We start from the raw sequence: 15093 nt of genomic DNA, 5'->3' as shown, positions 1-15093 counted from the left end.
GATAATGATGGCAATATTTGGTGCAGAGACCCCTAGCCTCAATCTAGTGCGAGCACCAGATTCGTAATTAGCACTGCTTTCAAAATGCAAATAAATCACAGCCCTCTAGGGGGCATAAAATGTCTATATTCAGAGGTACAGCAAGGTCCCAGGCAGTAGGTGGAGAGCAGGATCTAAGACTTAGATTCCAGTCCTTGTCCCTCTGCCTACCTAATACACATACAACACTGACTGACTTTCTCAGAACCTGTTTTTTAATCTGTTGTTTTTCAATGACTATTCCTGCCTATCTCCCAAAGTGATTGTGGGGAGTCAAATCAGACAATGACAATTCTTTCTTAGACTTCAAGACCCTACTAATCTCTAGGATTTATTTTCCTCCCATATAAGATACGGTTGAGATTTAGCATATATGTAAATTAATGTATCTGGATCAGAAATCAATATTTCCACTTAGCACATTTTGCAAAGTAAAAAAAATTTTTAGGTACTTTGGTATATTCTAGGAGAAAATGGCATCATTGTTGATCTCAATGCACACTATGAATGGACGATCGAGCACTGAATAAGAGCCCTTGGTTCCAAAGTCTGTGCTTACAGGGCCAGAAGTTACCTGGAACTTCTTTCTACAAAAATCCCAGACCTCTGAGGCTACTTCTTTTAATGATTTGGAACAAAAGCAAGAGTGACAGAGGAAATACCACAGAATAGGTCCTGTGGATGTCAGCTGATCACTGGGAAGGCACAGTGATTAGCTCTAGATAGAGACCAGACACAAGGTGGAGAGGAATAAGCCAAAGGAGAAACTAGGCATTCCCTACCTCTGGTTTTCTCCCACTGTACCCACCATTGCTCCACCCTGCAGAGTTAAACCAAGGGTGGGAATAAGCTTACCTCTTTATGGGTAGGGTTTCCATTGTGTTGACACTAATCTCCTGTTGTGTTGAATATCCACAGTCATGGAAAAGGGGGGAAAGTTGAAAATACTCTCAGGGGCACATGACACCACCCAGAGTTGGATCAGAAGTCTCAGCACTTCCTGGGGGTTCTGCACAGCAGGAGGGAATCACTTTCATCTCTGTCTGACATTGGGTTATCATGGACTTTATAATAATCAATACAGATGAACTAGAATTAACCTTCCTTTAACTGGGAAGTTACAATTAACTAGGTCATCTGGTTAACTGAAGGTTAATTAAAAAGGAAAACACATCCTCGCTTTGATCTTTTGGGCTGAAAGTCTTTTAAAATGTGCATCTCCCCTTTCCTCTGAACCTTCACAGCACACTCTTGGCATTCACCAAGATTCACTGCATGTGAAGGAACTTGAAGGTCCATCAAGTGGTCATTTCTAATTTTGCGGGCATGTAGGAGTAGACCATTTAGCTGGTGAGGGCACCAGATTGGCATTTCACATTGACTGTCCGATCCTGTAGTCATTATGAAGGCATGAGCTCTCACAAAGCAAGAAAAACTATTTCTTAGTGGAAAATCACCATCGAGAGAGAGAGAGAAAACTTTGGTGAAATTTGAGAAGGTGGTTAACTTATCTTGTATAGATCAACATGAGGACCAGATGGTTTTTGATGAAAAAAAGTGATTTTGGGAAAAAACAGAAGTCAACATAAATACTTCTGAGGTTGCAAATTGGAGGGTTTGAAGTCTCAAAACATGACCTTTTTTAAATGTTGAGGGTCTACTATATAGACAGAGAAACATAAGCGATTTCTCGATGACTGAGGATATGGTGGGGTCTTAGTATCATTACCCCAGCAACGTGATAAGGGATACAGATTTAGAGGGTAGAGGAAATTGGACTGTGTTCTAACTGCAGGGCAATTTAACAAATACATTCCTGGTTTAGTCATTACTTGCTCTATGAGCCCAAGAGAACAACCACTGGAGATGAAAACAAACGGTTGATCATTCAGATTTGTGGCATTCTACTCAGTCATTGAATCATTGTCTAGCTCTATGAGGAATTGTTACCCGATTAAAAAGAAACCCAGTGACTATTTCATTTATCAACAAAAGAGGTTAAACCTAATGAAAAGTTGTTTTGAAAGTTTTACATATAGCATCCTTTGTACGAGCAGAGCTAGTGAGCATATGATCATCACATAGTAACATTATTAGGAAGATGAGGACATGGAAGGAAAGAAAGGTAGAAAGAAAATAGGTAGAAATAAAGCACAGTATTCCACTATTCCTACTTCATTCATGCTGTACTCCTCATCCCTCCATTCTGTAGTCAGACAAATGAGGAAAAACTCACACTATCCCTCACCCCCACCATTTTTCCATGTGCATACACAGATACATTCCTGGGAGGTAAACTCACAAATGACACCACTGAACCAGCAATGCCTGGGTGGTATGTGCAAATGAGTGCTATTTGTGCAAAGTGCTATGCCTTAGTCACAGGAGTGCCTGTTGGAGTGATTAGTTCTCATGCAGGAAAGTGACAGAGGCCAAAGGCTTCTTGCAAACCCCTCTGGATCTACAGAGACCCGAGACACCCATGCATGTTTACCTGGGGAGCCTGCCAGAGAGTCCCCTCTGCTGACAGCGAAGGTACGAGACACAGAGACAGGCACTAAAGAGTCAGGGGCCAAGGATTTGTGAGTTGCGAAAGGGAAGATATAAACACAAAAGGAAAGAGACAAAGAACAAAGTGGGTGAGACAGTCTGTTCCTGGATCTTCACAACATCACATTTCTCTGCAAAAAGGAATCTTGACTCTGAAAACACAGGAATCACATCCTCTTACAAAGTCACACTCCAGAAAGACAAGAAAATAAAATGGATTTTGCTGAAGGTCATCTGAAAAGATGTGCAACACATCTTGGAATCAGATGTACAAGCACAAGCCGAGCCCTGTGGGAAGCATGTAGGCAGCATTCTCTGAGGCTCCCATTTTGAGCCAGCAAACATGCTGGGAGCCCAGCGCTGCATTCCCACCAAGCTCTCCCAGCTCCCATGGAGCTCAACTGCCAAGGGCACCTGCACAGGTACTCAGAGGCCTGAATGGAAAGCGTGTGCTCCTGCTAGGGGCATCCTTGAGGAAGCTAGATCCTGCCTCAGACTCCTAGGAGATCCCTCTGCTCACAGTGTTGGTGAAGAACTGTGCATTGCTAGAGGATAGGGATAAAGGAAGAACAATATCTCTAGCAGTGTTAATGTGAATCAACTTGATGAATTAAATCAAAGCCACTTTGTGGTAAGTACCAGTGGTCCAAAGTATCTCTCCGTTCCATTGTCCTTCTCTTTCCCCACAGAGTTTGAAATGGTGCTGGCTATCACTGGGGGGCCCGGGTAGAGTTCAGTGTGTATAACAGTCCAGCCCCTCCCCCTTCAAGTGGTGTCTGGGCAGGGGAACTATGGGAACCTGTCTTCATCTCTCTTATCTGATCATTCCCAGAGTCCTTTTTAAGGAGCTAAATGAAACCAGTCTGCAGATGATAGCATATGGAAATAGACTGCTTCTGCAGTTTTATTTGCTACATCAAATGATTTTATTTGAAATTACCTACCTGATAATCCTTTGCTCTGACATGAGATGTTAATGAATATTAGAATGGGCCTCTAATATTATGAGACACAATGGAGTTAAGAAACTCTCTATTCTCAAGAAGAATCATAGTTCTAAATGTATAAATGTATACACCAAACTGTATACATTGTATACACCAAACAGACAGGAGACCTGTTCTTTCCACATCTGCACACCTGTGTGTGCACCTATTCCAGCTACCCTGGGTTCCTGGCAATCAGAACCAAGAAGAAGAAGACAGTGTAGATTATGTTCCCTTCACCTCATGCAGGAAAGCCAGAGACTTCTTTGTAGCCTCAAGTTCAACTTTGAAGCATAGGTCATCGTGCCAGTATTCCAGCAAACTCATAATCTCACTCCTCATCCTCAAAGGCTGATTAAGCTAGCTTCAAGCATAGGGGGACGGGGCTGGGCCAAGACCCTACAAGATTTTATTGCCTTTTAGCTTAGACTTAAGCTCTCCCTCAACCTATAGGTTGAGGTTCTTGGCCAGTGAAAGATGCTGGGTGGCTGGACCATGGGCTGAGCATTCACCCGGGATAACTGTGGGGTATGGCTGGCCTTTGCAGTTACTTCACACTTCACTACACTAAGTATGGGTTCGGGGAGGATGGAAAATGTCTTTTTACCCCATTGGCTAATAATATTTCTTTTTCCTTCTGAAGATTTACAGAGATGCTCAGTAACATGGGGAGAGAAAGAGAAAGAGTGCTATGTTTCTTTTCAGTTAACTAGTTTTAAAGGAGAAATCAATGTTGCAACTTTATTTCTATCTCACTGATGCAACTGAAAGCTTTTGAAAGAAAGAACTAGAAACAGGAAGGAAGGAAAGGAAGAAATCAGATAACATCTTCCTTCTACTTAAAACAATTTTTTTTTTGAGATGGAATCTTGCTCTGTAGCCAGGCTGGAGTACGGTGGCATGATCTTGGCTCACTGCAACCTCCACCTCCCAAGTTCAAGTGATTCACCTGCCTCAGCCTCCCTAGTAGCTGGGATCAAAGGCACGTGCTACCATGCCTGGCTAATTTTTGTATTTTTAGTAGAGACAAGGTTTCACCATGTTGGCCAGGATGGTCTCGATCTCCTGACCATGTGATCCACCCGTCCTGGCCTCCCAAAGTGCTGGGATTACAGGTGAGAGCCACCATGCCCGGCCACAGCAATTTCTTTTTTTTTTTTTTTAAGAAAGAAGGTCATATAAATTGGGTGGGCTAGGAAGCCATATGTAGGTCTTTTTTTCTCAGAATTTCCACCTCTTTTAGTCTTCTGGAAGAGATCACAGACATTTCTAGGTAACATATTAGAATCCCAGGAGTAGTCCCTAATGTGATGGATGATGGAGATTTCCTTTAGAGAACTAAGGTTTGCCAAAGTCCTGTAGCCCGTCCCTCACCCATCCAGAGTTCTACTGAACACTAATGCTTCCTTCATCAACCTTGATTGAGATTCATTGTCTTAAGTATAATAATGTACCAGGGTCTTTTCAATTTTACAGATCTCCTCCAACTCAAGTTCTGCCACTCTTCACACTGGGCAGGTACTTCATTTCAACCACTGGCTGGGCTATTACACTGTAACAATTACACTGTAAATTGTTCCACTATTTCCACTTAGAAATTGCATTCCAGAATATGATGGATCTGAAATCTGTATTTTATTGTGCTGTGTGAACTAGCCAGGACACCAGGAAGCATCTTGGCCGGTCACCAACTTACTGGGTGATTTGAAGCAAGTCATTTCCTTAGTTTCACTCATGTTAAAATGGTATCTACCTTGCCATGTTCCAGGGACTATGATATCAAGCTCTGGGACCCTCTGATAATTCCCACCACAAGGCAATATGTAAAATCTTTTTTTATGATGAGAGGAAAGACCCTATTTGGCATTGAAGTGGTCACTGTAAACACTAACAGCTGAAAGCAATGCAAAATTCAGAACTGTGAATCAGAAAGAAATCTAGAGAAATAATTCTTTCTGTATCACACTTTTAATCACAAAAAATGCCATGCCCTTTAAGCACAAGTGCAATAACTACACAGAAAACAGCAAGAAGGCACAGCACAGAAAGGGCAGAGCAAACCAGCCATCAGCCCTGTGCCTGCCCCCCACCAACAGCATGCACAGCCAGCTGGCAGATACCTCTCCACTAGCTGAGAGGTGGAGAACCAAGAAAGAGAGGCAGATAAGCAACGTATTGCACAAAGGTGGAACTTACATCCCCAAATCTTGCAGTCACTTCTTACTGAGGACAAACCCCACAGACACAATAATAGCATATGACAGTGTTTGAGTAAAGGCCATGGGTGAATTGTTATTGCACAGAAGGAAGGGCTGAGCCTCTGCCCAAGCACACAAATCACCTGCCTGCATTCACTGGAAGGTGGCAATAAGCAGTGCCTTCCCTCACAACCCCTGCATCCCCCCAACCATGTGAGCAGAGAAGCAGCAGAAAACATTCCAGACACACAGAACCTAAGCTCCCATGGTCTGTGGGTACCTGGCAGGAAGCAGTGTTCCTGGCAGAACATTACAAAGGGGCTGCCAGCATTTGTCTTAGCCCCAGCCCAGGCTCAAAGTGCTCGGTCCAGGTCCCCAGAGCGGGCTGAGGCAGGACTACGATGGGGAGGACGAGGAAGGGGTTTGAGAGATACATACGAAAGACAGAAGATCCAGCCAGACTTCCAACCTTCCGCACGTCATTATCTAAGGACAGAAGCATGCAGTGGGTTTCAGAGGCAACTCAGAAAACACACTTCTTATGGGAATCTTCCCTCTTCTATCCACCCCCAGCACCAATTAACCCTGTAAAAACCAGGCAATTAAATGGAAGGGTAGGGAACAAGTATAAAAAGCAAAATAAACTTGTCTTTTCATACTGAAATCTACCACCCTAGATCCCTAACACTTGACAATATTACTGCTTTTTACAATTCAATTTTTTGTCACTTTTTTTTTAAGCACTAACTGAATGAAAAGTGATTCATACACCCATTTTGCAGAGGAAGGAACTAAAGCCAAGGAAGTTAAATGGCTTGTCCAGGCTGATTAACAAGAGTCAAAGGGGGAGTCAAGACTTGAACCCCTGTGCTTTTTCTACCATATCCCATTACTTTCCCAATAAACAAATGGAAACTAGAATACCTGAGCAAGCAGTGGTCATGATGGCTGGGACGCCATAGTAAGTAAAGGCTCCATTTTCAAAGCGAAGGCCTTCCTTACCAACCTCCACCTCCACTTTACCCTGGAAAAAAAAAAAAGGAAGTGTACTATGAATGTGTATGAGCACTTCCAGTTCTACTATTGACTCGAATCCTAAGCATTTCTGCTTGGATAACAAGTGGACTAGACCCATGTTCTTATCACAGAGGAATGTTAATTCTCTCCAGATTTACATGTGAGAAAGCACCACCAGCTTTAATAGCTCTTTGCAGTAAATTCAGTGCTTCGTTGTTCATAAAATAGCATCCAGTCATGAATAACCAAGCTGTCCTTGCATACTGTAGTGGCCCTTCCATGATGCAGGCCTAAGCACCAGCTAATCCAGGGCCTCATAAACTGCCCCACTGGTTTAGTCCAAGATTGGACCATTTCTAAGTCAGGTCAAGATAAAATCTAGGCCGAGTGCGGTGGCTCACACCTGTAATCCCAGCACTTTGGGAGGCCAAGGTGGGTGGATCACGAAGTCAGGAGTTTGAGACTAGCCTGGCCAATATGGTGAAACCCCATCTCTACTAAACATACAAAAATTAGCTGGGTGTGGTGGTGCATGCCTGTAGTCCTAGCTACTCAGGAGACTGAGGCAGGAGAATCACTTGAACCAGGGAGGCAGAGGTTGCAGTGAGCTGAGATCGGGCCACTGCACTCCAGCCTGGGTGACAGAGCGAGACTCTGTCTCAAAAAAAAAAAAAAAAAAAAAAGATAAAATCTAATTCTGTGTGAAGCTTGTTTAATTCATTGCCAATAATAGTGATAGCTGATATGTAATGCATAGCATGCATGGACATGACACTGTATTATGTGCACTGCATAGATTCTCATGCAATTAGCCCCACAACCCCATGAAGCCTATGCCATTTTTATCCCTGATTTACAGGGAACTCAATTTTGAGGCTCAGAGATTGAATAACTTGGTCCAGGTTAGTTAGGAAATGGCAACAATGGAATTTTAAAGCCATATTTTTCAAATTTCTGAGCGTACACTCTTGCTACTACATTTTATTCCATGTTTTATTTGAAAACCGTTAAGTTTATATTCAGCATAAGACATGAAACTATGTGATCATTACATTATACAAACAATGTAACAGGATTCTTGTTGATTTCCAACAGTGAAGCACATGACTACATTTTTTGGAGAAGAGAGGTCATTTTGTTCAGACCATTTGGAAAGATATATGTGAGGCAAGTTACAGTGACAGAGCAGAGAGGCTGGAAGTGGACAGTAACAAAGAGACCATTTCTAAGTTCATGTGAGCTTAATCAAGATTTTAAAATACAATCAGTGTATTTAGGATTCACAACATTATGTTGGGAAGGGACAGGGAATCAGTGACAGAGCTAATGGTGAAGCCAGACAGGGCACCAGCAGTGTTACAAGCTGCAATCATGTCAGACACTTATTTAAGACAGGCCTATTCAGGTATCCAGAGCAGAAGGTGATCATACTTATGTGAGCACTGGGGAGATGTTGCACTTCTTTGAACAGGTCATTTTCCCCCTTCCTGGTCCTCTGAAGGGGGAGAAGATTTCAGGAACTGCAAAGGCTGAAATGCAGCTGAGAGAATGAATGTGTCCCATGTACCTCCAGAGAGCAGAGCAAGGACCAGTATGGAAGTCACAGATGGTGAGATTTCCACTTGACAGAGAGAAGGGTTTAAAGAAGAGTTGTCTAAAGTTTAGGAGGCAGTGGGCAGTTTCATTTCAGGGGATGTTCAAGCAGAGATGAGGAGGTATTATAGCTTCCGCAGAGCAGCAGTTCTGGAAGTTTAGATGCAGAACCCCTCTATTGGAGAGGTATTCAACCCACCCCAAACATCGCTGAGTTGTCAAACTAAATGTCAAAGATCCCAGCACTCCCAGGACACCAGTCTTCCATGTCTAGGCCCCTCCTGTGGGTCATGAAGAAATGTCCACCCAGCTGGCCTTGTTGCTGAGGCAGCCAGCCAAGTCTTGGAACTTGGTGCTGACGGAGGCATGGCCATTTCTTCACCCTGGAGATGCCCTCCTCTGGCTCTCAGAGGTTCCCTGACTTTCCTACTCACCTGTAGAAGCAGCACAAAGTAGTCCACAGGGCGGTTGCGCTGGTAGAGGTAGTGTTCCGGGGCCTTCTTGTTCTTCTCATCAAACTTCAGCTCCTGGATCACGTTGGGATGTTTCAGGAGCCGGAGCAGGATCTTCTCCGAAAGGTACAGAGACTTAAAGGGCTCCACTTCTAGAGGAGAGTGAGTGGGAAGGGAGGAATCAGCATCAGCTGTGTCCCACCCATTCCAGCAGTGGCAGCTGGGAGGAGTCAGAGTGGGCACAACTGGGACCCCTGTGCCTGTACCTGGGCATCAGGTTGGCAGGGCTTCTGCAGTTCCTCCGGAGTGGAGGATCCTAATCCCAAGTGTGCATCTCAGGGCCTTACCCACGTCCTCTGGAGATGTGTGTCCCTGCACTGGCATCTCAGGAGAAACAGGTCTCCATTTGGAAATGTCTGTTTCATTATTAATTTTCTTTGATTTTATTTAAAATTGGACATGGACAACTAAGCCACATAAACAACAAAGACTTTAATGCTATAATTGAATGAAATGCAGATAATTTAATCTGGCTTATTTGTATGACATATATCTGCTGAATGAAATGAAATCCCATGTTACTAAAGACAGGCAATTATTTAAATAATAAGTTGTCAATAATGTGAGGCATCATTGCATCATATTTATATATTACAGCTATTGCTTATATTACATATGTTAAACTTATATTACTTATATAACATAGGCTCTGGGAAGTAGTTAAAAGAAATCTGTACTCAGAACTAGAAATTCTATCTTAAAGCAGCTCCAACTTAAAATTTTCTACTCTTTAGCACCTAAAACAGTGCTAGCACTCATTACATACTCAATAAATATATGTTGGATTAATTAAATATTGAAGTTAGTGATAGATATGATCATTCTAGGTCAGCACATTAATTAGGCATGGATGGTCAGAGGGTTCAAAGACAAACTTTATCTTCTTCACAAGAAGGAGTTTATCTTTGGATTTTCTCACTTTTTTTTCTTTCTAAAGATCCCAAGATTCACAATACACTTCTGTATTTTAAAAATTCATAGCTCACAGGCTTCTGTGGCACTGCTCTAGGGCACTGCAAGTCTAACAGACAGGGAGATGGCCTCGGGCTTCAGCGAGGAAGTGAGTAGAAGAGGGAAAAGTGCAGCAATGGTTTCTTTAGCTCTTTTCTCTGGTAGAAGAGTTGAGTTATACTCATTTCTTCCTCTATGAGATCAGGCCTGGGGCTCAATACGACAGTAGGTGGCATCCATTACCCTGTCTAAGGCAACCTCCTTCCTAGAACAGTGCTTCTCAGTCCTGACAGCACACTGGAATCAGGCTGGAAGGTATTAACAACGATTGGTGCCTGGGTCCCACCCTAGAGATTCTGTTTTAGCTTCTCTGGAGTGGAGACTTGTCCTACCTGTGGCCATGAAGCGGTGTGTGGCTAGCAGAAGCTGTGGTGAGATCTTCACCCGCATCTCCGTGTCCGAAAGCTTAAACAAGGAGAAGTCATGCCGCTTCCGCTCCCGTTGCGGGACCCTCTGCTTTTTCCGATTGTCAGCTGTGGGGTCACAGAGGACAGATTACAGCTATCTCAGAATCACGTTGATCTTTGGAGGTTTTCCCAGAATCACAGGGGACAGATAGAACATTTCTGCAGTGTCAACTATGGGTGACATCACAATATCACCCAGGAAGTAGAAGGATGTTGGTGAGGGATAGACAATGGGAGACTGCCATCATTTCAGTGTTTTCCACACTTAGGGGGTGTATAGTAGAAAAAGGGGAAAGCAGGCTTGGGGTACCCAAGTCTGGGGTTCTGGGGCTGGTTCCCCTACTTACCATGTAATCTCTCTAAGCATTAGAGTTTTTATTTTAATCTGTACAAGGAGGCTAATAATATTTAATATAGCTCTCATACTCATCTTGTGCAATTAATTATGAGACTCCAACTGGAAACTACCTGTGAGAATGCTTTTACCCAAAGTCATACACACACAAGGGACCTGCATTCTTAGTATCAAGAGGGTTGCAGGGGCCCAGGGAATTTCTGACTCTGTCCCCCTCCTTTGCCCTGAACTGGCCTCACCTAGTCTCCTGCTGCTTATGTGAACCATGCTCTGAGTGGTACCTGAAGCATGCCACACAAGGAAGGAGGGCGGCCACCACCTCTTATTTCACAATTTCCCTGCTTCAACCCCAGTCCCTCCACTGGGAGGGAATCAGGGGAAATATAGGGAAGAAGAGAGGAGAAGAAATAAGATTGGACCTATAATCTCTAAAGGTGGGTTTTCTGGATGGGGGCCTCAGGCAGGGTCTGGTACCTCCCAAGAGCCTATGTATCAGGCATGTAATTATTGGTTGAAAACATTTGCTTTTTCCAATTTAATTTGTTCTCATTCTTTTTAAAGCTTGTCTAAATATATCTACTTCCCCCCCGGCCCCCGCTTTTTTTTTTGTTTTTTTTTTTTTGGTAGAGGAAATGTTTTCTTTGGTTCTTTCTCTTTTGCTTTCCCTGAGTTTTGAGTAAAATTTTGAAACTGCTAGCCCATCTTACCTGCACTAAGGGGAACAGGGAGAGGGATTTGGGTTTTCTCCAAACTTCGCCTAAAGAGAAACAGGGCTGTGGGGGAACGTCTGGTGCAAGCTGAGTGGATGCAGTGAGAATGAAAGGGAATGAACCCCTGTGGCAGGAAAATAAGGCCCCAGAATCCGGCTCCCTGGTGTGCCCCCTCTCCTTTTGGGGCCTGCTTTTGGGTTTCCTTCTAGAAGGGTCAAAGTGCCCTCCTGCCGGTGCAGCTCTTCCATGGCCCGCTCTGACTCTGGGCCTTCACAGTCATCTGGCCCCTGCTTTGACACTCCTTTTGCTCAAGTCACAATGGGCAGACCCAGACCCAGGTGTCCAGATCACGTAAGAGGTCAGGGTCATGCAAGAAGAAAGACAGTATCCCTGGCTTCTGGGCCTTTTCATAGCTCTTAGGGAATCATGCCAGCAGCTATTTATAGGTAGAAAGACCCTAACCTGCTCCTGTAGAAAGAGGATCACTCAGCAAAAGAGTAGCAAAATACAGGCTATTAGCCCAGCTCTTTCGCTCTCACTAGTGAGCAACTTTCTGATTTGTATGATAAGTTTGCCTAAATAGCCCCCCTCTCCCCCATCAGATTGCCACTTAACATGGCATTATTAGGAAATCATTCCTCTCATCGCCCCCTTCTCCTTAGATTTCAATAGTGTGTGTTGGAAGCCTTAAGGTTGTTCAAACAAGTGCCCTGGGAGGAGCTTACTCATTTAGACTATTATCAGTACCTAACACCTTAGTGTGAATGGCTTCACTAGTTTATCTGAGACACCTGGGATTTTTTTTTTTTTTTTTTTTTTTTTTTTTTTTTTGAGACAGTCTTGCCCTGTCACCCAGGCTCCCATGCTGGAGTGCTGTGGCACAATCTCCACTCACTGCAGCCAGGACCTCCCAGGCTCAAGTGATCCTCCCACCTTGGCCTCTCAAGTAGCTGGGACTACAGGCACACGTCACCACGCCTGGCTAACTGTTGTATTTTTTGTAGAGATGGGGTTTCACCATGTTGCCCAGGCTACACCTGAGAATTCTAAATCAAGAGTGGCAGGCAGAGGTGGGGGAGGGAGAGGACATTTCCGAGCTCGTTCCTCATGTGAGGAAGACACGCCTGGTCCGGGCAAGCACAGCAGTGCCCAGGCTCTTGGAGGGAGGTGCCATGACTCTCTTGCTTGTCTTTGCCAAGGCCTGGCCCACCTTTTAGAGTTGATCTCTTCTTTGTCTAAAAGGAAGGCACTCTTTCTGCACTGCTCACTGCCTTATGGTATCAAAGCTCTTTCTACCAGGAGCCAGTTTCTGAAAGGCCGCATCTCACAAACTAAGGACCAAAGTCTGAAACGAGTTATCTGCAAGGAAGAAAAGGATGGCTATTCCATGAGATGAAATTCTCAGGAGGAAACACTTCCCAGCCTAGGGACTCCCATGGACTTAGATAACATTCCAATCCTAAAGACAAAGCATGCCTTTGTAATGTTTGCAAGCAAAGCTTTGATAAGGTTCAGTAACCCAAAGTACTCACATCTGCATAGAAAAGTCTGTATTGTTCCTGAGTGAGGGAGTTAGGAGGGGCAGCAGACCAGAAAGAAGGAAGCAGAGACAAGAGCAGGGATGCTGGTGGCAGGGAGAGAACAGAAACCCAGGGTGGTGGGCTGAAAGGCAGAAGAGGACAGGGAAGTTTGTAAGAAGGAGTATTCAGTTTTTGGCTTAGGCTGTGAGTAGGCAATCTCATGACAGTCTCCACTGCTCACTGCGATGTTCTGATGTGAGTGGAACCCCTGTTGGGGTCTGCATCTAGGTGGATGAAGCAACCAAACAAGAACACAGGGGACAGAAACAAGGGCAGAGAGGCCTCTGGGCACCGTCCTGGGAACACTGTGTTTCCTGTAGTCCCGTTTCTATCCAAAGGCTGGGAGGTCTCCTTTTCATAGTCTTGGCTCAGTTCCTGAAGGTTCCCTCCTGATAAACACTTAGCTAGCATGTTCCCAGTGACTCAGAAGTGATTCCAACTAGGGTATCTTGCCACAGCAGCACCTGGCATAGGTGGCTGACACACATCAGGGCACAGGGTTTGCCCTGACACCCTTTCTATAAATCAAATGAGGCTTTACCTGAGAGTCTTGGAGGAAAATAAGATGACCCTGGAGAACAGCCAAGGCCGTGCACTTACTGTAGAGATCAGTTTCATCCAGGATCTCCGACTTGATAATCTCCTCTATGATATCCTCCAGCGTGACAATGCCCATCACCTCATAGAAAGGGTCCCCTTCTCCCTCATTATTCACCCGCTGGACAATGGCCAGGTGAGATTTTCCTAGAGAACAAATGAAATCACAGTTAAGTATCGGGGACATTTTCAGAGATCTTTTTTTGTGAGAAAAATGATACAAAGTTGCTGTCTGACCAATCTCAGGATTGCACTCATCCCTGGACCTCCTTAAAATATGAAGTTTTTATGCAAGCGCTTATAAATGCAAGGGCTTATAAATGCAAACCTTATTCTTCTAGATTTGTGTTTCTATTTAGGGAAGTTACTGAATATATTCAAAACCAGTTAGTTTTTTTTCTTTGAACTTTTACATATTAGCAAGTATATGTTAGCTGATATAATATATACTAATTGAAAGAGCAAGAATTTAGAGTCAGAATTATGGTAAAAGTCATTCTCCTCCCCTAAGCCCCCTTCCCCACTAACTATCCCAGTTACTATTCCTTGACAAATCATTTAATCTCCACTGAATTACCATCTCTCATCTAGAATCAGGAAATAATGCCAGTGTGGTGATTTTAAAACATGGCCTTTGTGGTATGCCTCCCACGGAGAGGTGTGATCTACAGCCCCTCCCCTTGAATCTGGGGGGGCTTGTGACTACTTCAACCAAAAGAGAATGGGAAATGAATGTTCATTATAGGACTTCTGAGGCCAGGTCATAAAGGCATGTAGCTTTTGCTGCAAGAACATTGTAAGAAGTCTGACTACTACCCTGAGGCCACCATAGTGGAGAGGCCACATGTAGGTGCTTAGGTGCCAGTCCCAGCTGAGCCCACCCTTCCAGGTTTCCCACCAAAGTGCCAGGCAGTTTGGCAGAAGAAGTGGTCTTGGAAGTGGATCTGCCAGTCTCAGCTGATCCAGCCCCTTGTCTCACTCACTCCCCAGCCTTTCTTTCTTCCCTCCCTCCCTCCTTTCTTTCTTTCTTTTCTTTTCTTTCTTTCTTTCTTTTCTTTCTTTCTTTCTTTCTTTCTTTCTTTCTTTCTTTCTTTCTGTCTGTCTGTCTGTCTGTCTGTCTTTCTTTCTTTCTTTCTCTCTTTCTCTTTCTCTCTCTCTCTCTCTCTCTCTCTTTCTTTCTTTCTGAGATGGAGTCTCTCTCTGTCGCCAGGCTGGAGTGCAATGGTGTGATCTCAGCTCACTGCAACCTCCGCCTTCCGGGTTCAAGTGATTCTCCTACCTCAGCCTCCCGAGTAGCTGGGACCACAGATGAGCACCACCACGCCCAGCTAATTTTTGTATGTTTAGTAGAGATGGGGTTTCACCATGTTGGCCAAGATGGTCTCGATCTCTTGACCTCATGGTCCATCTGCCTCGACCTCATGATCCACCTGCCTCGGCCTCCCAAAGTGCGGGGATTACAGGCATGAGCCACCTCGCCCAGCCTCTCCCCAGCCTTTCAAGCAGCTCCCAGCTGTGGCCCCAGACACTGTGAAGCA

The 15093-nt window shown here is 44.4% G+C and overlaps 1 protein-coding gene across 7 annotated transcripts in view, besides 2 other annotated features; it reads right to left on the bottom strand.

The window, feature by feature from the left end:
- The window catches only part of CNNM1 (cyclin and CBS domain divalent metal cation transport mediator 1), a 64975-nt gene that overhangs the window by 23117 nt on the left and 26765 nt on the right, over nucleotides 1-15093 (bottom strand). For 3 of the 7 annotated variants that reach the window (NM_001345887.2, NM_001345889.2, XM_011539631.4), the window contains exons 2-7: nucleotides 13559-13702; nucleotides 10239-10379; nucleotides 8818-8987; nucleotides 6698-6797; nucleotides 6212-6259; nucleotides 2534-2596 (exon numbers count right to left, since the gene is read on the bottom strand). In NM_001345887.2, coding sequence (NP_001332816.1) covers nucleotides 2534-2596; nucleotides 6212-6259; nucleotides 6698-6797; nucleotides 8818-8987; nucleotides 10239-10379; nucleotides 13559-13702 — 666 coding nt within the window. Of the gene's footprint in view, nucleotides 1-2533; nucleotides 2597-6211; nucleotides 6260-6697; nucleotides 6798-8817; nucleotides 8988-10238; nucleotides 10380-13499; nucleotides 13703-15093 lie in introns of those variants that run through there. The other 4 variants (NR_144311.2, NM_020348.3, NM_001345888.2 and 1 more) reach the window with 2 other exon arrangements.
- Nucleotides 11918-12584: an enhancer, noted in NCBI's record as "NANOG-H3K27ac-H3K4me1 hESC enhancer chr10:101118387-101119053 (GRCh37/hg19 assembly coordinates)". NCBI's record gives its function as "activates a minimal SCP1, AML or CMV promoter by ChIP-STARR-seq in primed H9 embryonic stem cells {active_cell/tissue: H9 hESC(primed)}" and the evidence as "EXISTENCE:reporter gene assay evidence [ECO:0000049][PMID:30033119]".
- Nucleotides 12585-13252: an enhancer, noted in NCBI's record as "OCT4-NANOG-H3K27ac-H3K4me1 hESC enhancer chr10:101117719-101118386 (GRCh37/hg19 assembly coordinates)". NCBI's record gives its function as "activates a minimal SCP1, AML or CMV promoter by ChIP-STARR-seq in naive and primed H9 embryonic stem cells {active_cell/tissue: H9 hESC(naive and primed)}" and the evidence as "EXISTENCE:reporter gene assay evidence [ECO:0000049][PMID:30033119]".

Source organism: Homo sapiens, chromosome 10 (genome assembly GCF_000001405.40).
Source record: "Homo sapiens chromosome 10, GRCh38.p14 Primary Assembly".
Taxonomy (NCBI): domain Eukaryota; kingdom Metazoa; phylum Chordata; class Mammalia; order Primates; family Hominidae; genus Homo; species Homo sapiens.
This window is presented reverse-complemented; position numbering and strand designations above follow the sequence as displayed.